The sequence below is a fragment of the Homo sapiens genome, chromosome 10, assembly GCF_000001405.40.
Source record: "Homo sapiens chromosome 10, GRCh38.p14 Primary Assembly".
Taxonomy (NCBI): Eukaryota; Metazoa; Chordata; class Mammalia; order Primates; family Hominidae; genus Homo; species Homo sapiens.
Genome location: NC_000010.11, coordinates 21,812,931 through 21,838,320, shown reverse-complemented (window position 1 = coordinate 21,838,320; position 25,390 = coordinate 21,812,931). Strand labels below are relative to the sequence as shown.

The 25,390-nt window shown below is 42.0% G+C and overlaps 1 protein-coding gene across 2 annotated transcripts in view, besides 1 other annotated feature; it reads left to right on the top strand.

The window, feature by feature from the left end:
* The window catches only part of DNAJC1 (DnaJ heat shock protein family (Hsp40) member C1), a 247,183-nt gene that overhangs the window by 165,410 nt on the left and 56,383 nt on the right, over positions 1–25,390 (top strand). The window lies entirely within an intron of this gene.
* Positions 12,554–12,754: a silencer, noted in NCBI's record as "peak900 fragment used in MPRA reporter construct". NCBI's record gives its function as "represses an SCP1 promoter by STARR-seq MPRAs in K562 erythroleukemia cells {active_cell/tissue: K562}" and the evidence as "EXISTENCE:reporter gene assay evidence [ECO:0000049][PMID:32103011]".

The following is a 25,390-nucleotide window of genomic DNA, read 5'->3' as shown; positions in this document are numbered from 1 at the left end:
AAGGTTATAGATTAACAGCATCCCAAGGCAGAAGAATTTTTCTTAGTACAGAACAAAATGGAGTCTCCTATGTCTACTTCTTTCTACACAGACACAGCAACAATCTGATTTCTCTATCTTTTCCCCACATTTCCCCCTTTTCTATTCGACAAAACCGCCATCGTCATCTTGGCCCGTTCTCAATGAGCTGTTGGGTACACCTCCCAGACGGGGTGGCGGCCGGGCAGAGGGGCTCCTCACTTCCCAGAAGGGGCGGCCAGGCAGAGGCGCCCCCCACCTCCCGGACGGGGCAGCGGCTGGGCGGAGACGCCCCCCACCTCCCAGCCGGGGCGGCTGGCCGGGCGGGGACTGCCCCCCACCTCCCTCCCGGCCGGGGCGGCTGGCCGGGCGGGGGCTGCCCGCCACCTCCCTCCCGGACGGGGCGGCTGGCCGGGCGGGGGCTGCCCCCCACCTCCCTCCCGGACGGGGCGGCTGGCCAGGCGGGGGCTGCCCCCCACCTCCCTCCCGGACGGGGCGGCTGGCCGGGCGGGGGCTGCCCCCTACCTCCCTCCTGGACCAGGCGGCTGCCGGGCAGAGGGGCTCCTCACTTCCCGGACGGGGCGGCTGCCAGGCAGAGGGGCTCCTCACTTCCCAGACGGGGCGGCTGCCGGGCGGAGGGGCTCCTCACTTCCTAGACAGGGTGGCTGCCGGGCGGAGGGGCTCCTCACTTCTCAGATGGGGCGGCCGGGCAGAGAGGCTCCTCACCTCCCATATGGGGTCGCGGCCAGGCAGAGGCGCACCTCACATCCCAGACGGGGCAGTGGGGCAGAGGCGCTCCCCACATCTCAGACGATGGGCGGCCGGGCAGAGACGCTCCTCACTTCCTAGACGGGATGGCGGCCGGGAAGAGGCGCTCTTCACTTCCCAGACTGGGCAGCCGGACAGAGGGGCTCCTCACATCCCAGACGATGGGCGGCCAGGCAGAGACGCTTCTCACTTCTCAGACGGGGTGGCGGCCGGGCAGAGGCTGCAATCTCAGCACTTTGGGAGGCCAAGGCAGGCGGCTGGGAGGTGGAGGGTGTAGCGAGCCGAGATCACGCCACTGCACTCCAGCCTGGGCAACATTGAGCACTGAGTGAACGAGACTCCGTCTGCAATCCCGGCACCTCGGGAGGCCGAGGCTGGCAGATCACTCGCGGTTAGGAGCTGGAGACCAGCCTGGCCAACACAGCGAAACCCCATCTCCACCAAAAAAATACGAATACCAGTCAGGCGTGGCGGCGCACGCCTGCAATCCCAGGCACTCGGCAGGCTGAGGCAGGAGAATCAGGCAGGGAGGTTGCAGTGAGCCGAGATGGCAGCAGTACAGTCTAGCTTCGGCTCGGCATCAGAGGGAGACCGTGGAGAGAGAGGGAGAGGAAGACCGTGGAGAGACGGAGAGGGAGAGGGAGAGGGAGCTCTCCCATTATTATTGTGTGGGAGTCTAAGTCTCTTTGTAGGTCACTCAGGACTTGCTTTATGAATCTGGGTGCTCCTGTATCGGGTGCATATATATTTAGGATAGTTAGCTCTTCTTGTTGAATTGATCCCTTTACCATTATGTAATGGCCTTCTTTGTCTCTTTTGATCTTTGTTGGTTTAAAGTCTGTTTTATCAGAGACTAGGATTGCAACCCCTGCCTTTTTTTGTTTTCCATTTGCTTGGTAGATCTTCCTCCATCCCATTATTTTGAGCCTATGTGTGTCTCTGAACGTGAGATGGGTTTCCTGAATACAGCACACTGATGGGTCTTGACTCTTTATCCAATTTGCCAGTCTGTGTCTCTTAATTGGAGCATTTAGCCTATTTACATTTCAGGTTAATATTTTTATGTGTGAATTAGATCCTGTCATTATGATGTTAGCTGGTTATGTTGCTCGTTAGTTGATGCAGTTTCTTCCTAGCCTTGATGGTCTTTACAGTTTGGCATGTTTTTTGCAGTGGCTGGTACTGGTTGTTCCTTTCCATGTTTAGTGCTGCCTTCAGGAGTTCTTTTAGGGCAGGCCTGGTGGTGACAAAATCTCTCAGCATTTGCTTGTCTGTAAAGGATTTTATTTCTCCTTCACTTATGAAGCTTAGTTTGGCTGGATATGAAATTCTGGGTTAAAAATTCTTTTCTTTAAGAATGTCGAATATTGGCCCCCGCTGTCTTCTGGCTTGTAGAGTTTCTGCCGAGAGATCCGCTGTTAGTCTGATGGGCTTCCCTTTGTGGGTAACCCGACCTTTCTCTCTGGCTGCCCTTAACATTTTTTCCTTCATTTCAACTTTGGTGAATGTGACAATTATGTGTCTTGGAGTTGGTCTTCTCAAGGAGTATCTTTGTGGTGTTCTCTGTATTTCCTGAATTTGAATGGTGGCCTGCCTTGCTAGATTGGGGAAGTTCTCCTGGACAGTATCCTGCAGAGTGTTTTCCAACTTGGTTCCATTCTCCCTGTCACTTTCAGGTACGCCAATCAGACGTAGACTTGGTCTTTTCACATGGTCCCATATTTCTTGGAGGCTTTGTTCGTTTCTTTTCATTCTTTTTTATGTAAACTTCTCTTCTCGCTTCATTTCATTCAGTTCGTCTTCCATCTCTGATACCCTTTCTTCCAGTTGATCGCATCGGCTACTGAGGCTTCTGCATTCGTCACGTAGCTCTCGTGTGTTGGTTTTCAGCTCCATCAGGTCCTTTAAGGACTTCACTGCATTGGTTATTCTAGTTATCCATTCGTCTAATTTTTTTCAAAGCTTTTAACTTCTTTGCCGTTGGTTCGAATTTCCTCCTTTAGCTCGGAGTAGTTTGATCGTCTGAAGCCTTCTTCTCTCAACTCATCAAAGTCATTCTCCATCCAGCTTTGTTCCCTTGCTGGTGAGGAGCTGCATTCCTTTGGAGGAGGAGAGGTGCTCTGATTTTTAAAGTTTCCAGTTTTTCTGCTCTGTTTTTTTCCCATCTTTGTGGTTTTATCTACCTTTGGTCTTTCATGATGGTGACGTACAGATGGGTTTTTGGTGTGGATGTCCTTTCTGTTTGTTAGTTTTCCTTCTAACAGACAGGACCCTCAGCTGCAGGTCTGTTGGAGTTTGCTGGAGGTCCACTCCAGACCCTGTTTGCCTGGGTATCAGCAGCGGTGGCTGCAGAACAGCGGATATTGGTGAACCCCAGACGCTGCTGTCTGATCGTTCCTCTGGAAGTTTTGTCTCAGAGGAGTACCCGGCTGTGTGAGGTGTCATTCCGCCCCTACTGGGGGGTGCCTCCCAGACAGGCTTCTCGGGGATCAGGGACCCACTTGAGGAGGCAGTCTGCCCATTCTCAGATCTCAAGCTGCGTGCTGGGAGAACCACTACTCTCTTCAAAGGTGTCAGAGTGGGACATTTAAGTCTGCAGAGGTTACTGCTGTCTTTTTGTTTGTCTATGCCCTGTCCCCAGAGGTGGAGCCTACAGAGGTAGGCAGGCGTCCTTGAGCTGTGGTGGGCTCCACCCTGTTCGAGCTTCCTGGCTGCTTTGTTTACCTAATCAAACAACTAACTTGGCAATGGCGGGTGCCCCTCCCCCAGCCTCGCTGCCACCTTGCAGTTTGATCTCAGACTGCTGTGCTAGCAATGAGCGAGACTCCATGGGCTTAGGACCCTCTGAACCAGGTGCGGGATATAATCTCCTGGTGTGCCGTTTTTTAAGTCCGTTGGAAAAGTGCAGTATTAGGGTGGGAGTGACCCGATTTTCCAGGTGCCGTCTGTCACTGCTTTCTTTGACTAGGAAAGGGAATTCCCTGACCCCTTGGGCTTCCAGGGTGAGGCGATGCCTCGCCCTGCTTCGGCTCGCGTACGGTGCGCTGCACCTACTGTCCTGCACCTACTGTCTGGTACTCCCCAGTGAGATGAACCCGGTACCTCAGTTGAAAATGCAGAAATCACCCATCTTCTGCGTTGCTCACGCTGGTAGCTGTAGACCAGAGCTGTTCCCATTCGGCCATCTTGGCTCCTCTCCTTAGTCCACATTAGGTCTTTTAAACAACGTTTCACTGGGGAGCCCCTCTTTCTTTCTTTCTTATTTTTTTTTGAGATGGAGTCTTGCTCTGTCGCCCAGGCTGGAGTGCAGTGGCACGATCTCAGCTCACTGCAAGCTCCACCTCCCAGGTTGACGCCATTGTCCTGCCTCAGCCTCCCGAGTAGCTGGGACTACAGGCGCCCGCCACCGTGCCCGGTTAATTTTTTGTATTTTTAGTAGAGATGGGGTTTCACCGTGTTACCCAGGATGGTCTCGATCTCCTGACCTCGTGGTCCGCCCACCTCAGCCTCCCAAAGTGCTGTGATTACAGGTGTGAGCCACCGCACCTGGCCTGGGGAACCCCTCTTTCATAAAGTATTTTTTTTTACAAACTTACCCTACAGTGATCTTTCCCCTGTCTGATTTCTAGTAGCACATTTCTGTGCCACTTAATCTTGTATTTGGTTGTATAATGCTTTACATTATATAGTATTTTGTTGGTGGTAATTTTTTTAATAAAAAACAGTTGCCATCTATCTGCTGGTGGAAGAGTGTGAGTGGGTGGTACAGTGATAAATAAGACATACTGAATTTTGTCCTGAATATTAGCTAACATTTATTAAGTGGCTACTGTGTGCCTGGTACTGTTCTGCGCACTTCATGTGTATTAACTTATTTGATTCTCACAGCAACTCCATTTGGTAGATGCTATTATTTTCTTCATTTTACACAGGAGAAAACTGAGAGGCAAGGTAAATTCTCCCACACTGCTTAGCTAATACATGACATAGCCGTGATTCACACCCACTTCACTGGTTTCAGAATTCATGCTTTTTTAAATTTATTTATTTTTATTTTATTTTTTGTGTCAGAGTCTCACACTGTTGCCTCAGCTGGAGTGCAATGGCACCATCTCGGCTCACTGCAACCTCCGCCTCCTAGGTTCAATTGATTCGCCTGCCTCAGTCTCCCAAATAGCTGGGATTACAGGCGCCCGTCACCATGCCCAGCTGATTTTTTGTATTTTTAGTAGAGATGGGGTTTCACTGTGTTGGCCAGGCTGGTCTCAAACTCCTGACCTTGTGATCCACCTGCCTCAGCCTCCCAAAGTGCTGGGATTAGAGGCCTGAGCCACTGCGCCCAGCCAGAACTCATGCTCTTAACCACTGTCACTATATCATGTAGTTGAAAAGGTCAGACAAAGAGCTAAATAAGCATATTTTGAGGTGTACTTTGTGAGAGGTTTAAAGTACTATTGCAGTTTAGCAGATGGCAAGATTACTTCCACCTAGGAAAAAACCAAAAATTTTTATGAAAGATTTAGAAGTGGGGTGGGGAAAACATTCCAGAAACTAAGGAATAAATCACTCTTGAGACAGAACTACTCAGAGCATATCATCAGGAACAGTGAGTAATTTAGTTTAGCTGGGTCAAAGGATTCTTGAAATGATAAAGAGAAAATATGTTTGTAAAAGTAGGTCGCAGCCAAATCATAGATCTTGAATGAGAGGTTAGAGTGTTTAAATCATACAGAAGGTGAAGTGATGTTGTCCACATATTAGAAATATTTCACTGCAAAAGTATATAAGATCAAAGGGAAGAGAAGGACCCATTAGAAGATTTTTGCAATAGTCTTAGTAAGAGATAATAAATTCCTGAGTGAAGTAGCTAACAGAAATAGAGACCAGGGGAGAGACTGGACAAATCTTGAATGTTCAGGATTCAAGAAATCAGTTGATTGGATAATGCAATAAGGAGGAGGAAGAAGTAAAAATGCCTACTTGGTGATTGGAAGAGACAGTTACCATTAAAAAAATATGGGGCATGGTTAGGAGGTGATAGTTTGGCAGAGAGAATGATATGTAATCAGTTTGGTATGTGCTAAGTTTATGATGCAAATGGGACATACATCAGGAAACATTCAGCAGATAGTTGTTAATGTAGAATTTAAGAAATCAGAACTAGAGATGTAACTACTGGGGACCTTGACATACATTTGATGGCTAAAACCAGGGAAGCACATAGAAGAAAAACATCTAGGAGAGAAATTGAGGAATCAGAACCAGAAAAGGAATATTCCCAAAGTAAGGAGAATGAGAAGATTACTGTGACTTAAAATAGGACATGAAAAAGTGGAATGTTGCAGGAGATAAAACAAATATGGCAAAACGTCAGCAGTTATGAAATCTAGACTGTGAGAATTTACATGTATTTTTATGCCTTATATATGCTATGTTATTCTTTTTCCTTAGATTTTTATTTTCCTTCGTTTTCTGTCATTGCTTGTTCTACTTCAGATCATTTTCTTATATCCTATGTCAATTCTAAATTTTCTTCATTGCACCTGGAAATCACAGGATGACTATGGTATCCACCTAAGTTTTATATATATATCTACCTAAAGCGGATATTATGTTATAGACATAAGAGTAAATGTATCAATCCTTGAGAAGGCTTCCTTGGGAGATTTCTGGCCACCTAACAGACTGAGCTGATATGAATGACCGTTCCAAGAAAGGATTAAGCATTTTTTTTTTTTTTTTTTTGAGATGGAGTCTCGCTCTGTCGCCCAGGCTGGAGTGCAGTGGTGCGATCTCAGCTCACTACAAGCTCCACCTCCTAGGTTCACGCCATTCTCCTGCCTCAGCCTCCTGAGTAGCTGGGACTACAGGCGCCTGCCACCATGCCTGGCTAATATTTTGAATTTTGAGTAGAGATGGGGTTTCACCATGTTAGCCAGGATGGTCTCTATCTCCTGACCTCGTGATCCACCCATCTCAGCCTCCCAAAGTGCTGGGATTACAGGCGCAAGCCACTGCACCCGGCCAGATTAAGTATTAAGAACAACAACAGTAACAACAAAAGTAATCATAGTATAGATTAAAAGAATGAAAAGTAAATCTAGTTTTGGTACCAGTAACAATAGCTCAAAACCAGAGTATTAGCAGAAACTGACACCACAGAATATAAGTGTTAGTGCCTGGGGTTTTAATACCCACTTGGGGCAGAAATTGTGCCTTTGAGTCCAGAGGCAGCTGGAACTGAGCCTCTAGCCTGCTCTCAAAGGGCTACCCTTCTGTGAAAGGAGAATGAGAAAATCCTGTGTTCTAGAACCATTGAAATCTCTGGGCACCTGACAGAGGCCAGAGCAAAAACTATTCTTTAGGCTTACCCCAAACAGGGTTTTTGGAACTGTCACAGAAGGAAAAACAAAGACCACCCCCACTACCCCACCCAGTAAAGATGTGCCCACTATTAAAACTCATAAACTTTGAGGGTAGTCAGCAGATGCAACAAAGAAGAAAATTGGCATTACAAGAATAAGAGATAAGAAAACCAATCTGAAAGAGACCACAAAACTCAGCATTTCTATAATGATTAAAGAGATAAAAGTAGGAATAAAACCATAGTGAAAGAACATGACAGGATATGAAAAAAAGAACTTTTAGAAATGAAATGTTCACTGAGTTTTTTGTTTTTGGTTAAACCATTTTAAAAAATGTTTGAATTGAACTTCTAAAATGAGAATTCATGAGTTAGAAGATGATCTGGTCAAATCATCCAGAATGTAGAACCAACAGATAAGGATGGAAAATATAGGAATAGTTAAGAGACACTAAAGATAGAATGTTTAATACATTTCAGAAAGAAAGAATGAGAAATGCAGTATTATAATTTTTTAAAAAGACAGATTTTTCAGAATTGGTAAGAAAGAGAAATCTTTGTATTTGAGTAGTACATAGTATACTGAACAGGATGAATAAAAACAGTCTACCTCTAAACAAATCAAGGAGAAACTGTTGAACATTAAAGCAAATAGAAAATCTTAAAACTAACCACAGAGAGAAAACAAAGGAACGCCAGTTATACTACCAATTACCTTCTCATCTGCAACAAAAAATATCAGAAGAAAGTAGGAAAATATCCTCAAAGTGCTGAGGGAAATCATTGTCAACTTAGCATTTTATGTATTGTTAAAGTATTAGTTGAAAGTAGGAATAAAATAAAGATATTTTCAAACAAACTAAGGCCTAGCAGTTTGCCACTCATGGACCCTTACCATGAAGTCTACTTAAGGATGTGCTTCAGCAAGAAGAAAATTGAATGTAGAAAAAAAGAGAGGGTAGTGAGAAAAAGTTGTGACAAAACAGGGAAATCATGTTGATAAATCTAAAGCATTGACTGTAAAAGCAAGTATTGTAATAATGGTGACTAGTTTAGAGCAAGGTAAAACAAACTAAAACTAAAATACATGACAGCAACACTTAGAAGATGGGAGAAAAAAATCAGAAACATTTTAGGATTCTTGTATTTAATGGGAGGGGGATAGATATGGATTTACTTTAGATTTGTTAGTGATTGTTTAAAAAATATTGGATATTCATTACTGTAGCTAGAATGTAGAACTTCCAAGCCAATTGAGAGAGGATCATGAGCAAGAAAACTTTACCAGTCTGAAAGAACATATGAAAAGAGAAAGAATAAAAGAAAGCACATGGTAAATGGCATAAATTAAGATAAGGAATAAATCCAAATATTTCAATCACAATAAATGAAAATAGGCTATAATTACCAGTTAAATAACAAATATTGTCAAATTAAAAGAATGAAATCCAGCCATATGTTATTTACAGGAGAGACATTTAAAGCATAATGTCACTGAAAGGTTGAAAGTAAAGGGATGGGCCCAGCCCAGTGGCTCACGCCTGTAATCCCAGCACTTGGGGAGGCCGAGGCAGGTGGATCACCTGAGGTCAGGAGTTCAAGACCAGCCTGGCCAACATGGTTTAATCCCGTCTCTAGTAAAAATACAAAAAAATTGCTGGGCGCATTGGCTCATGCCTGTAATCCCAGCACTTTGGGAGGCCGAGGTGGGCGGATCATGAGGTCAGGAAATCAAGACCATTCTGGCTAACACAGTGAAACCCCATCTCTACTAAAAATACAAAAAGAAATTAGCCGGGCATAGTGGTGGGCGCCTGTAGTCCCGCCTACCCGGGAGGCTGAGGCAGGAGAATGGTGTGAACCCGGGAGGCGGAGCTGCAGTGAGCCAAGATCACGCCACTGCACTCCAGCCTGGGCGACAAAGCGAGACTCCATCTCAAAAAAAAAAACAAAAACGAACAACAACAAAAAAATCAGCTGGGCATGGTGACTCATTCCTGTAGTTCCAGCTACTTGGGAGGCTGTGGCAGGAGAATCGCTTGCACCCAGGAGGCAGAGGTTGCAGTGAGCCAAGATCACCTCACTGCACTCCAGGCCTGGAACATAGCAAAGCTCCATCTCAAAAAGAAAAGAAAGTAAAGGGATGGAAAAAATAAGAGGACTGACCCTAATAATCTTTATGCATCAAACAACAACCCCAGCTTTATACATGGCAAGAAAATATACACAATTACCACACTTTCAAGGAGCAGATAACCTGCCTTATATGGATTATTCTGATATATATAGAGAAAAAATTCCTGAAGTTCTTTTATGAGGCAAATGTAAATTATAATTTCAAAATTAAATATGTGTATCATGAAAAAGAAAAAGTGTAGGTCAGTATTGCATATGAACTTAGTTACAAAAATCCTTCCAAAAATGTTACTGAGTTTCAAAAAGTTATTTTCTAATGTTTTAGATTTGCTTTAAAGTAATATGGAGGGAGGAAGTAGATGGTGATAGCCATGGAACAAGATTGATTATGAATTAATAATCGTTGAAGCTGGGTGATGGGTACATGAGGATTTATTATGTTATTGGTTCTACTTCTATCATATGTTTAAATTTTTTGATCTTAAGACTTTAAGTCTGTCATAATCAAGTATGTATTCAACAGAATTCAACATCCAGTACACCCCGCTGCCAATAGGTGAAACTCTGTACATTAACTTGTAAAATATTTGAAGCATTCACTTAAAAATCATGAACATGAAAATAATACCTTAATTTCCTTTTATTCAACATTATCTGGATATCTGGCTTGTAAATGGTTACTCATTTGCTATTAGACATTAGGAAAGTTGCCTTATTTTTTGATTCTAAGTTTCTGATCTGTTAAATGAGTATCATAATAGTGCCTAGCTGGGCACATGGGATATAAGTGATCTGGCTGCACTACTCTAGCAGACCCCAGCCTAGATCAGCCATCTCATATGATAAATACATTGCTTATTGTTTTATACACTGAGATTTTCAGTTGTTTGTTTTGCAGTAATAACAAAGTATACATCTGGCAAAGTCAAAATTAGATGTTGGCAATTATATGGAGGAAAAAGAGGTTCTCTCATTGACGCTGATGGGGAAGTAAATTAATAAAATTCCTTTGGAGAGTAATTTGACAATATCTAATTGTAAAGTTGAAGATGCCCATATCCTGTCAGAAATTCCACCTCTAAATGCATTCACTAGAGAAACACACATATAAGCAAAGAATTATTTAAAAGATGTTCATTGCAGCATGCTAGTAGTGAAAAATTTTAAACAACCTAAGAGTCCAAAAGGAGAATAATGATGAATAAATTATATGTAGTCATCAATGTATAGTGGGTTGAATAGTATCCCAAACAAATCCATGTCCACTTAGAACTTCAGAATATGATATTATTTGGGAATAGGGTCTTAGTTAAGATTAGGTCATGCTAGATTAGAATGGGCCCTAAATGCAACAACTGGTATCTTTCTAAAAAGAGAAGTCACACAGAAGCATCCACAAGGAAAAAGGCCATATGATGACGCAGCAGAGGTTGGAGTAATGCAGCTGCAAGCCGCAGAACACCAAGGATTGCTGACGAGGAGAGAGTTGTGGAACAGATTCTCCCTCAGAGCCTCCAAAAGGAACTAACCCTGCCAAAACCTTGATTTCTGACTTCTAACCTCCTGAACTGTAACAGCATAAATTTCTGTTATTTTAAACCACTTAATTTGTGGTATTTTTTTATGGCAGCCCTAGGAAATGAAGACACAGTGGAATACTACCTTGCAGTTAAAATGAATGAAACTAAAACTAAAACTATATGTATCAATATGGGTAAATCTTGGAAACCTAATGTCCAATGGGAAAAGAGTGGATAGCATGATACAAATTATATAACCCCAAGGCAGACACTGGGGAGGGAGGAAACTGACCTCCAGTAAGCAAGTGGTAGTAACTGGACAAAGTGACTTTGAAGTTACTTCATCATAGAAATGAATGAAGTAACACTGAAAACGTCCAAACATTGCTGAAAGAAATTAAAGAAAACTTAAATAAATGGAAAACCGTCTTATGTTCATGGATTGGAAGACTTAATGTTATTAAAATGACAATACTACCCAGGGCAATCATATTCGGTGCAGTCCCCATCAAAATTGAATCTCAAGGGATCCAAAAGGAAAAAAAAAAAAACTTGAACAAGAACAGAGTTGGAGAACTCATACTTCCTGATTTTTGCAACTTACTACAAAGCTACAATACTCAAAATGGTGTGGTACTGACATACAGACAGATATGTAGACCAATAAAATAGAATAGAAAGCCTAGATATAAATCCTTGCATATATGGTCAAACATGTTCAACAAGGCTACCAAGATCATTCAGTGTGGAGAAGACAGTCTTTTCCACAAATGGTGGTGGGAAAACTGAATATCCTCTTACAAAAGAGTGAAATTGGACTATTACGTTATAGTATATAGAAAAATTTACAAAAATGGGTCAAAGATATAAATGTAAGAGCTAAAATTATAAAACTAGTAGAAGAAAACATAGAAGGAAAGCTTCTTGACATTGCAATTGGCAAGTTTTCGTGTATATGACAGCAAAAGCTTGGGCAACAAAAGAAAGATAGATAACTTAGATTTCATCAAAATTAAAAACTTTTGTATATCAAAGGATACCATGAAGAGACTGAAAATGGGCCAGGTACAGTGGCTCATGCCTATAATCCTAACAATTCAGGAGGCTGAGGCAGGAAGATTGCTTGAGCCCAGGAGTTCAAGACCAGCCTGGGCAACATAGTGAGACTCTATCTCTAAAATAAAAAGAGAGAGAGAGTAAAAATGCACCCCACAGAATGGGAGAAAATATTTGCATATGTGATATATTTTCGTCTCCTCTTCTTCTTTTTTTTTTTTGGACAAAGTCTCATTCTTGTTGCCCAGGCTGGAGTGCAATGGCACGATCTCAGCTCACTGAAACCTCTGCCTCCCAGGTTCAAGCCATTCTCCTGCCTCAGCCTACCGAGGAGCTGGGACTACAGGTTCCTGCCACCACGCCTGGCTAATTTTTGTACTTTTTAGTAGAGACAGGGTTTTGCCATGTTGGCCAGGCTGATCTCAAACTCCTGACCTCTGGCGATCTGCCTGCCTAGGCATCCCAAAGTGTTGGGATTACAGGCATGAGCCACACTGCAGCTGGTCGATATGTTTTCTATCATCTATCTGATAAGGGGATTAATAACCACAATATATAAAGAAGTCCAACTCAATAACAACAACATAACTCAGTTCAAAGATGAGCAAAGGATTTTAGTAGACATTTCTCCAGAGAAGATTTACTCATGTTCAGTAGTCACATGAAAAGGTATTCAACATCACCAATCATTGGGGAAATGAAAATCAAAACCACATAAGATAGCACTGCAAACCCACTAGAATTGCTATAACAATAACAACAGAAAAAAAGAAATGTGAAGGCATGGAGAAAATTGAATCCTCATACATTGCTAGTGAGAATGTAAAATGTCTCAGCTGCTTTTTAAAATAGGTTGGTGGTTTCTTAAAAAGTTAAACATAGAGTTACCATATGACCCAGCAATTCCGCTCATAGGTGTACACTCAAAGGAACTGAAAACAGATGCTAAACAAATAACACTTACAGCCATGTTCAGAGCAGCACCATTCACAGTAGCCAAGAGGTGGAAGGAGCCCAGATGTTCATCACTAGATTGACTAACTATGCTATATACATACAACGGAACGTTATTCATTTGTTAAAAAAAAGACTGGTAGATGCTACACTGGGGATGAACACTGAAAGAAGTCAGAAGCAAAGGGCCACATGATATAATTCCATGTTTATGAAATATCCAGAATAAGTAAATCTGTAGAGACACAATGCAAATATGTGTTTTCCAGAGACTAGAGACAGGGGGTTATTGTTTAATAAGTATAGAGTTTCAGTTTGGGATGATGAGAAGGTTCTAGAGATGGACAGTGGTGATGGCTTGTACAACAATATGAATGTACTTAATGCCACTGAATGGTGCACTTAAAATTGTATACTTTAAAATAGTTGGCCGGGCGTGGCAGCTTACACCTGTATTCCCTGCATTTTGGGAGGCCAAGGCAGGTGGATCCACCTGAGGTCAGGAATTCGAGACCAATCTGACCAAGGTGATGAAACCCCGTCTCTACTAAAAATACAAAAAATTAGCCAGGCATGGTGGTGGGCACCTATAATCCCAGCTACTCGGAATGCCTGAGGCAGGAGAATCACTTGAATCCAGGAAGCAGAGGTTGCAGTGAGCTGAGATTGCACCACTGCACTCCAGCCTGGGCAATAAGAGCGAAACACCATCTCAAAAATAATAGTAATAAATAAAAATAAAATAGTTAAAATGTCAAATTTTATGTTATGTATGATTTACCACAATTAAAAATAAAAGAATAAGGGCAGGTTTGTGACAGCCTTGTGAACTGGGTAGGAAGTGGGGGCTGGATGGGAGCAGTGTGGTTTGCCCAGGCTGTAGAAAACAGATAAGACTTCCATCACCGTCCATCTCTCTCCAGAGGACTGTTTAGCAGTTCAGTAACACAGGGCTGACATTTGTTAAATACTGTTATTTTCTAGGACCTTAATATATGTCTTCAACTTATACAGCCTTACTTCGTGTACTCAAATGTATTTCCACCATCCTGTGTTGCCAAACTTTTCCTGTTTCGAGACACTAGTAGTCTCTGTTATTCACCGCATGTTTGTATACCTGTAAATAACGTTTATAGAACTCTCACACTTGAAGTGCATTTAGTATTGAGAACAAACTCTGTCTGAAATCCCTCTCTCAGATAATATACTCTTCTTGCCTAGCCTAGTTTTTGGTGTGGGGTATGACAGCCGCTCTTAATACTGCTACTGTTATTGAATGGAAGCTTTAGTATTCCTTCAGAAGAGCAAGTGAATTTAGTCTGTATGGTTACATGCCAGAAGAACTGTTTAGTGGTAAATTCCTGCCCCTCTCAGAATGCCTAGAATCTTCCTGTTTCTTTCTGTCATTCATTCTGCTAATCAACCAGTCATTCATTCAACATAATTATTGTAAGCCTGCTATGTGTCAGGCAGTGTATGCTAAGATACTCAAGGAATTTGTCCATATGTTTTTACCTGTTGATACATTTATTGTATCTAGTTTTTATTCTCATGTATTGAAACACATGAAAGAGTAACAGTGCACTTTATTTTTTTATTATTCAAATTAAAAGAACTATATAGACTGATATAGTTTATATTAAGCTTGTCCAACCCATGATGCCCACAGACTGGATGCGGCCCAGGACAGCTTTGAACGTGGCCCAACACAAACTCATAAACTTTCTTCAAACATTGTGGGATTTTTCTGCTTTTTTTTTTTTTTTAAGCTGGTCAGCTATTGTTAGCATTAGTGTATTTTATGTCTGACCCAAGACAACTCTTCTTCCACTGTGGCCCAGGGAAGCCAAAAGATTGGACACCCTTGGTTTATATGTAAGTAAAAAGCATATCAGAAGCCAGAAATTTTAAGACATAGAATGAATACGGAAGGAAGAAAATATGACAATAACTTTTTATTGAAGGAAGAAAATATGACAATAACTTTTTATTGAGATTAAGGAAAATACTCATCAGTGATAGAAAAATCGGACTAAATGTTAAGTTAGGAAAAAACACTAAACTACCCTATGTAAAAATGTAGTTAAATGGGTGGGCACACATATATGAGCATCATCAATGGTGTCATGCTGTGGTTTGATCCATGTGTGAGACTGGTTTTTATACTTTTGACATCACTTTCCTTATCCCATCCTAGGAACCATCTTACAGATGTATACCACTGGTCATAAGGAGATCTGGTTATTTACTGCCTTTACCAAAAAGCAGCTCTTAAGCTCATAATTCATCTAAGTTTTAGTTTTCTCCTAAAAAGCTCCTCTAATAGATTTCGCTTGTGATTTTGCAGACTTCAGTTCAAGTCTCTTTGAAGTGGCAGAGATTAATAAAGACCTAAATAACACTTGTTTTTAAAATTGTCATGATTTACAAATTACTCCTCTTTATTATGTTTTCCCTGCCTGCATTCTTATCCCTTTTCTGTAAATTACACAGACCTTCTCTTGTTAGTGACTAATATTTGAAACTACCGACCGTGGTAGTTTTTTCAATTTAACATGTATTAATATTTTCTGTGCACCTGGTTTATGTCTAGGACTTTGCTACTAGATAATATAACAAAACTGTAAAGGAAATTATTTTCCAGGATAAAAATCACTTATCCTGATCTTTAGAATTTTCAAGCCTTGTCATGACTGTTCTGACACCTAAAATTATAATCCTACCTTAATTTTATGGAACTATTCAGAGGTATCCCACTTCAGCAATTTGGCTTGATATGTTTATCATCACATAACTATGATACAATATATATGTATGTTCATTGTCAGTGACAATTTAACACTTGTATTTCTAACCCAAAAAACTGACAGTGGATTATTGGGCTAAAATTGTTAAGGTCTTACTCTAGCCCTGTCTTTGATTACCTTGTGAACTTAAGAAAATTTTTTCAAGTTTTGTAGGTCTCAGTTTTTTCTTTCTTAAAAACAGAGCATAAGACTAGATCGTCTCCATGTATTTATTTATTTATTTATTTTATTATTCATTTATTTATTTATTTATTTATTTGAGTCGGAGTCTCGCTGTGTCACCCAGGCAGGAGTGCAGTGGCGCGATCTCAGCTCACTGCAACCTCCGCCTCCTGGGTTCAAGTGATTCTTCTGCCTCAGCCTCCTGTGTAGCTGGGATTACAGGTGTGCACCACCATGCCTGGCTAATTTTTGTGTTTTTAGTAGAGATGGGGTTTCACCATGTTGGCCAGGCTGGTCGCGAACTCCTGACCTCAAGTGATCCACCTGCCTAAGCCTCCTGGGATTATGGGTGTGAGCCACTGTGCCCTGCCAGTTGTCTCCAGTTATTGAAATGAGTCTGTTCTAAGAGAATATAACAAAACTAAACATAACTAAAAATGTTACCCTTCATGCTTTCAAAATGGTAATTAGATTCCAGTATACATATATGATTTCGGTTACTATACTAAGAGTCAGGTACCATTCTGTTGAATAATATGACCTTTGATAAATACTGGATGCGCCATAGTAGAATATAGTGGAAAGAACACTGCAGGTTTCTAAGTTCCACTATACCATTTACCGGTGATATGTCCTTATACATTTTTTCAATCCTTTTAATTTATTTTAGTCTCAGTTGTTTTTTTTTTTTTCCTGAATAGGTTAATAACAGAAAATGTTCTGCCTGAAGACAGAATACTTGTTCCCTTGAGGTCATATTTAATTTTAAGAGCTATAAATCTATAAATTAAAATGTCCCTTGAGACATAAAAATGTCTGTTTGGTGGACTTCTAACTTTAAAGCAAGAAATGTTCATTTTGAGTATCATGAATCCTAGGAGAAATATATAATTATTGTCATTTCTCACTTGTATGTGAGTAATACATGTCTATTAATATATCTAGAATTTTATTTTCCTACCTCCAAAGTGGCCTGGTAGGCTTCCCATCGATTTTCTCATGGGTTCTTCTATTTTTCCTCAAAATACTCATTCGACAGTCATTCATTGACTTTATAATGTGTTTCAGGCATTGAGAATATATAAGCAAGAGGCATAGTCCCCAAACTTTAGGAGATTATAATCTATAGAGAAAAACAGTTATATAAAGAAGCCATCATAATATAATGTAATTTTAGTAAAACTATATACCACTGTATATATTGCATTTTTTTCTACAATTCCTGGCTCATAACTCACATAGATGTTGTTACATTCCTTTGTTACAATATTGAAGGCAAGAGCAGGCCTGAGGAAACAGAATCTCTCTCTCTCTGACCTCCTGCCCTCCTTTCACCTGCCCAAAGCAGGACTCAGTCTGATAGTGGGTCATAAGACCGTCATTCCAGAGAAGGTTTTGCCCCATACTCTGGAGGAAGGAATGCTGCACAGAGAGACCAAGAAGATTCTGAACAGACAGGCCTGGCTGGGTTTCCCTACTCAGTCTATTAGTATAAGATCTTTTTATCTAATCCCATTTTTGCATGATTGTCAATCTTGCCTACATAATGAGGCCTCCATAAAAACCCACAAGGACAGGGTTCAGAGGGCTTCAGGATAGCTGAACGTGTGGAGGTTCCTGGAGGGTGGCGTGCCCAGAAATGATATGGAAGCTCTGCACCCCTTCACCCATCCCTCACTCTAAACGTCTTTTCACCTGTATCTTTTGTAATATCTTTTAAGTAAACCAGTAAAACATATTTCCCTGGGTTGTGTGAGCCACTCCATCAAGTTATTTGAACCCAAAGAGGGGGTCATGGGAACCCCAACTTGAAACCAGTTGGTCAGAAGTTCTGGAGGCCCAGGCTTCCATCGGGTTGGAGGGTCTGGGGGGAACTCCTGGGGACTGGGCCCAGAGTCCTGTGGGATCTGACACTGTCTCCAGGTAGATAGGGTCAGAATTGAATTGGCAGACACCCAGGTGGTGTCTTCTGTAGAATTGATTGCTTGCTTGCTGTTAAGAGAAATCCCCACATGTTGTGGGTCACAGAAGCCTTTTGTATTTATTGTTTTTGTGTTTGTGTGAAAGTGGAGGAAAAACACAGTTTGAAAGTTTTCCCAGGTGTATACCCAAGAGAGATAAAACATACGTCTACATAGAAACCTGCAGGTTTGTTTATAGCAGCATTATTTTTAATAATCAAAAAGTAGAAACAACCCAAATGTCCATCAGATGGATAACACAGACAAAATGTGGCATATCCCCCCCAGACATAGAATATTTTTCAGCAGTAAAAAGAAATGAAGTACTGATATATGCTACTACATGGACCTTGAAAACATTATGCTAAGTAAAAGACTACATATTATATGATTCCATTTTTATGAAATGCCCAGAATAGGGAAATCTATAGAGACAGAAAGTAAATTAGTGGTTGCCTAGGGACTGAAGCAGTTAGGACAAATTAAAGGTGACTGCTAAAGGATAAGAAGTATCTATTCAGAATGATGAAAATGCTTCAAAATTGTGCATGACTTTATGAATATACTAAAAAGCATTGAATTATACACTTTAAATAGGTGAATTTATGGTGTGCTAGTTAATTTCTTTTTTTGTTTGTTTTATTTGAGACAGAGTCTTGCTCCATTGCCCAGGCTGGAGTGCAGTGGCGTGATCTCAGCTCGCTACAACCTCTGCCTCCTGGGCTCAAGCGATTCTCTTGCCTCAGCCTCCAGAGTAGCTGGGATTACAAGCATGTGCCACCATGCCCTGCTAATTTTTGTATTTTTGGTAGAGATGGTGTTTCACCATGTTGGCCAGGCTGGTCTTGAACTCCTGACCTCAGGTGATCTACCCGCCTCAGCCTCCCAAAGTGCTGGGATTACAGGTGTGAGCCACTGTGCCTGGCCTATGGTATGCTAATTAGATCTCAATAAAAAAATTTTAAAAATCAATATCAAATGCACAAAATGTGACCATGCCCCAAATTAAGAGATTAAATAACTTCTAAAGGCCACCTCACATGTTCTGTGATTCTAAGCTTCTATAATTTAAATTATATCAGTGGTAAAGCAATACATTTTAAAATTTTGAATTTCAAAGCGTGACCAACAAGCTAGTAGACTACTGCATGTCCTCCAAAACTTTTTTTTTTTGAGACGGAGTTTCCCTTTTGTCACCCAGGATGGAGTGCAGTGGCGTGATCTCGGCTCACTGCAACCTCTGCCTCCTGGGTTCAGGTGATTTTCCTGCCTCAGCTTCCCAGGTAGCTGGGACTACAGATGCACGCCACCATGCCCAGCTAATTTTTGTATTTTTAGTAGAGATGGGGTTTCACCATGTTAGCCAGGGTGGTCTTGATCTCTTGACCTCGTGATCACCTGCCTTGGCCTCCCAAGATGCTGGTATTAACAGGCATGAGCCACCGCGCCTGGCCCAAACCTTTTTTAAAACCAAACTTTTATTGCTTTTCATCAGGTCTTAAAGCTAGTGTCACATTGTAAAGTCTTTCTATTAGTGTCATGTTAGTCCTTAAATACGATTTTGCTTTATCCCAAGTAGTATAATAGTGATGCATCTAACTTTGGTTTCCTTCAATTTACTCTTCTGCATTTTTCTAAAAACAAGGTTTCAGACAGTGAATTGTAATATAATCTTATGTAAGACTTTTTTCTACCTTTCAGTATTTAAAAAACAGCAGAAAATAAGTAAATAATGACTGCACAGAGATTTTCTAGCATAGATTTAGCAGTGCTCATTTTCAAAATAAATCATTTTGAATCTTTTTGAATAGTATGGCAAAAGTTGGGTCTTACTCATTTCTTTCTTTATCGGGGAACCTGCCCCTGATAGTCATGTAGGTTCTTTTCTATTTTTCCTAAGCGTCGGCCAGGTTGAGAAATAAAGGGACAGAGTACAAAGTGTAAAGCTGGGTGTCCAGGGGAGACATCACATGTCGGCAGTTTCCGTGATGCCCCACAAGCTGCAAAACCAGCAAATTTTTATTAGTGATTTTCAAAAGGGGAGGGAGCATACGAAAAGGGTGTGGGTCACAGAGGTCATGTGCTTCACAAGGTAATAGAATATCACAAGGCAAATGGAGGCAGGGCGAGATCACAGGACCACAGGACTGGGGCAAAATTAAAATTGCTAATGAAGTTTCGGCATGCTTTGTCATTGATAACATCTTATTAGGAGACAGGGTTTGAGAGCAGACAACTGGTCTGACCAAAAATTTATTAGGCGGGAATTTCCTTGTCCTGATAAGCCTGGGAGCGCTATGGGAGACTGGGGCTTATTTCATCCCTACAGCTAGACCATAAAAGACAGCTGCACCTAAGGGGGCCATTTTAGAGGCCCACAGGGACACATTCTCTTTCTCAGGGACGTTCCTTGCTGAGAAAAAGAATTCAGCAATATTTCTCCCATTTGCTTTTGAAAGAAGAGAAATATGGCTCTGTTCCGCCCGGCTCACCAGCGGTCAGAGTTTAAGGTTATCTCTCTTGTTCCCTGAACATTGCTGTTATCCTGTTCTTTTTTCAAGGTGCCCAGATTTCATATTGTTCAAATACACATGCTCTACAAACAATTTGTGCAGTTAACGCAATCATCACATGGTCCTGAGGTGACATACATCCTCCTCAGCTTACGAAAATGACGGGGTTAAGAGATTAAAGACAGGCATAGAAAATCACAAGGGTATTGATTGGGGAAGTGATAAGTGTCCATGAAATCTTCACAATTTATGTTCAGAGATTGCCGTAAAGACAGGCATAAGAAATTATAAAAGTATTAATTTGGGGAACTAATAAATGTCCATGAAATCTTCACAATCCACGTTCTTCTGCCATGGGTTCAGCCAGTCCCTCTGTTTGGGGTTCCTGACTTCCTGCAACATTTATTCTTAAATTTTTTTGCAGAATACATTTTTTTTCATTAAGAGCTTTGAATTTTAATTTGGCTCTTGTATGAACTTCCTAGGAGGTCTTAAGAAAATCATTACATCTTTTTTTGCTGGTTTCCTAATCTTAAAGTTGATGATAGTGTTATTGTTTCAGGACCAGCAAGACAGAACGTAACTTTTATAGAGCACTGGAAACATGAAGCTAAAAATAAAAAATGAGGGGAAAAAAAATACAAGGACTACAAGTCATGATAGGACTTTCTCATGTGGTCAGAGTGTTCGTAGTATATTTAAGGACAAAGATTTAAATAAATGTAAACATTTATGTGTAATTTAAAATAACTTTATTACAAAAACTGCTGTGATGAGCATCTTAAACAAATTTTAGCATATCACCATGTTTTTCTTACAGGTAAGAAAAGTAGGTGCTGAAAGAAGGTCCTCAAACAGATGTACACATAGTCTATTGATTTTTTTTTTTTTTTTTTTTTTTTGAGACGGAATCTCGCTCTGTAGCCCATGCTGGAGTGCAGTGGCGCGATCTCAGCTCACTGCAAGCTCCACCTCCCGGGTTCAGGCCATTCTCCTGCCTCAGCCTCCTGAGTAGCTGGGACTACAGGCACCCGCCACCACGCCCGGCTAATTTTTTTTTTTTGTATTTTTAGTAGAGACGGGGTTTCACTGTGTTAGCCAGGATGGTCTTGATCTCCTGACCTTGTGATCCACCCACCTCGGCCTCCCAAAGTGCTGGGGTTACAGGCGTGAGCCACCGCGCCCGGCATTTTTTTTTTTTTAAGAGACAGAGTCTCGGCCGGGCGTGGTGGCTTATGCCTGTAATCCCAGCACTTTGGGAGGCCAAGGCGGGTGGATCACGAGGTCAGGAGATCGAGACCATCCTTGTTAACACGGTGAAACCCCGTCTCTACTAAAAATACAAAAAATTAGCTGGTCATGGTGGGTGGCGCCTGTAGTTCCAGCTACTCGGGAGCCTGAGGCAGGAGAATGGCGTGAACCCGGGAGGCGGAGCTTTCAGTGAGCGGAGATCGCACCACTGCACTCCAGCCTGGGTGACAGAGCGAGTCTCCGTCTCAAAAAAAAAAAAAAAAAAGAGAGAGAGACAGTGTCTCTTTGCTGCCCAGGCTGGTCTCGAGCTCCTGTGCTCAAGTGAATCTCTTGCCATGGCCTCCCAAAGTGCTGGGATCACAGGCATGAGCCACTGCACCCAGCTGGTCAATTGATTTTTGACAGTAGTGTCAAGGCAATCCAAAAGGAAAAAGGATAGTCATTTCTTTCTTTCTAGAAGTCTTGCTCTGTCGGCCAGGCTGGAGCGCAGTGGCACGATCTTGGCTCATTACAACCTCCTCCTCTTTGGTTCCAGCAATTCTCCTGCCTCAGTCACCCAAGTAGCTGGGATTACAGGCTCACGTCTGCCTAATTTTTGTGTTTTTAGTAGAGACAGGGTTTCACCATGTTGGCCAGGCTGGTCTCAAACTCCTGACCTCAGGTGATCCCCCCGCCTCAGCCCACCAAAGTGCTGGGATTACAGGTGCCCATCTAGGATAGGGTATTGGAACAACTGGATATCCATATAATAGAAAATGAAACTTGAAGGCTGGGCGCGGTGGCTCATGCCTGTAATCCCAGCACTTTGGGAGGCCGATACAGGCGGATCACTTGAGGTCAGGAGTTCGAGACCAGCCTGGCCAACATGGTGAAACCCCATCTCTACTAAAAATACAAAAATTAGCCAGACGTGGTGGCGGGCCTGTGATCCCAGCTACTCGGGAGGCTGAGGCAGGAGAATCGCTTGAACCTGGGAGGCAGAGGTTGTAGTGCGCCAAGTTCACACCACTGCCCTCCAGCCTGTGCAACAGAGGGAAACTCCGTCTCAAAAAAAAAAAGAAAATGAACCTTGACCTCTGCCTCATCCTTGAGATAGGCAAAGATTTCTTAGGATACTCTAATCACTAACCATAAAAAAATAGAGAAATAGATACATTGAACTTTATGAAAATGAAAAGCTTCTGCTCTTCAAAAGACACCATTAAGGAAATGAAAAGGCATATATTGCCAACAAGTGTGAAGTTTGTTTCATGCTATATATGGACTAAGCCTTCCCTAGTTTCATAGATACTGCTGGTAGAAAACTTAAAACTCCTGTGTCAGAGATAGAGGACAGTTTATTACTGATAGCAATAGCAGTTATCAGAATATCAGTATGTTTCTGCCAGCTCCCCAAACCTCAGGTGTAACAGGATGCATTAGCGATTGTACAGATTCCACCTTGGCCCACAAGGAGGACATCTATTGCAGTTTGATCATCAAGAACAACCCCCGGCAGAGAGTTCAGGCTTACCTGAATGACTTCTACTACCATGGTAGGATGGTGTCATGGATCAGTTCAAATAGTCAGGGAGCTATAGTGGCTCCATGCCATTAAACAAGGCTTAACATTGTTTTTAGTTCTGAGCAGCACAGTACTGTGGCTTGTGGCTTAATGTTTTTGGCTACCCATGATTTATATGAGATGGCAAGAAGGTCCTCATGTCTGGCGCCATCTGTTTCAATCTTGAGAGCTCTTTGACACAGTGCCCTAGCCACAGTGCTTTCTAGCTGAGGTCGTGGAGTTTGCCCCTCTGCCTGACTCAAGCTAGCAGTGTGACCTTTGGTGAGTCTACCTTAATCCAGAGCATCTGCTTTCCCATTACTGAGATAAAATCTCTTAAATCCTAAATTTCAACATAAGGGCTAGAGGAGTTTTCCAGAGTGGCAGGGCTGACTGCATAGATTTACGTACATTTCTTTGAGTTACTTTCTCATTTTCTGTGAGGTTACTTTTGTTCCACTTTCACTGGATTTAGCATTCTATTAATAAATCCAATCCAGGGCAGTAAGAGCCTGAATACTCTTCAAGTCGTCGTCCTTGGTTTCCTATAATACAAGAGTGTATCTTTCTCTGCGAGATCTCCCTGAAAGGATGAAAGCACCCAGGACCCACTTTGAGACATTTTGCTGTCATTTCCAAATGGATTTAAGGTTGGCATAATAGACTACAGAAGAGGTTGTACTGTAAGACAACCCACCTGATCCCATTCTTCCCTAAGAAGCATTACACACCCTGCCCCCTTATCTCCCAAGTGAACCAGCCATTGTTCTAATGATTGGCCTGGTTTGTGCTCATGAATTTCTCTTTTCATGCTCATTATGAGTGTGTATCTCTAATTGTTTTCTGAAAGGGAGTAGACTTTATGGCTACACAAAATGAATCTTAGTACTGTTACTTAGTACTTGTTACAGTGGTACAGACCTGAGGCTGACCAAACAGGATGGCAAGGAAGTCCCCTAACCTGGAAGAGATTTAGGAACAATAAGGATGCCTTTATAGCAGCTGTGTTTGAACCTATTTCCTGGTATTCAGCATGCAGCCACTTCCACAATTCTTCCTTATTAATAGACAGTAAAAGGAAGTGACATTTGCTGCCCAACCGACAATATAACTTAATTAGCATGTTCGCTGTAGGTGCCCAGTAACTTCTGCAAATCTCTACAAGGCCCTCATTCAGAAAGAGGAAGAGTCTGTGAGAATCCCATCCTCATCACCAAAACTGTCAAAAACTGTAAAGAGTTTGAGATTTTACCTTACTTGTGAGCAAATAAGGTAGCCTGCTACAGTTTCATGAATGCTGGTAGAAGACATGAGACTCCTGGGTCAGAGACAAAGGGCAGTTTATTACTCACAGCAGCAGCAGTAGCTAGAGTATCAGCATTTTTCTGCTTGTTCTCTGAGCTTAGTTCCCACAGAGTAAGAGGGCCAACTGACTCCTAAACAACCAGTGCGGTGTATTACAGATGGGGAATCCTGAACTTAGGTAACTCAAATTTTTTACAACAGGCAATAAACATGGCTACCCATTCCTCTGAGGAGGCAATATCTTCACTATACTGGACAATAAGAATGTTTGCCCTGGCTGGGCGCAGTGGCTCACGCCTGTAATCCCAGCACTTTGGGAGGCCAAGGCAGGTGGTCAGGAGATCGAGACCATCCTGGCTAACACGGTGAAACACCATCTCTACTAAAAATACAAAAAAAATTAGCTGGGCGTGATGGTGGGCGCCTGTAGTCCCAGCTACTCGGGAGGCTGAGGCAGGAGAATGGTGTGAACCCGGGAGGCAGAGCTTGCAGTGAGCTGAAATTGCGCTACTGCACTCCACACTCCAGCCTGGGCGACAGAGTGAGACTCCGTCTCAAAAAAAAAAAAAAAGACTGTTTGCCCTTTGACCTTGAGGGAGACAATGTCCTTTCCTATTACTGCCTATCCATTGGGCCGCTTGAGCGGCCTCACTGTTTGGCAGTTGGCTTCCCCTAGAGACAAGTAACCCAAGAAAGAGCAAGGCAGAAGCTGTATGTGTATATATATATATATATATATATAGAGAGAGAGAGAGAGAGAGAGAGAGAGAGAGAGAGAGAGAGAGAGGGAGAGAGAGAGAGAGAGAGAGAGACAAGTAACCCAAGAAAGAGCAAGGCAGAAGCTGTATATATATATATATATATATGTGTGTGTGTATATATGTATATATATGTATATATGTATATATATGTGTGTGTGTGTGTGTGTGTGTGTGTATGTGTGTGTATATGTCTTTTATCATTTATCCTTGGAAAACACACCCTATCCCTTCCACAGTATCCTATTGGTTTTACATGTCAGCCCTAGCCACT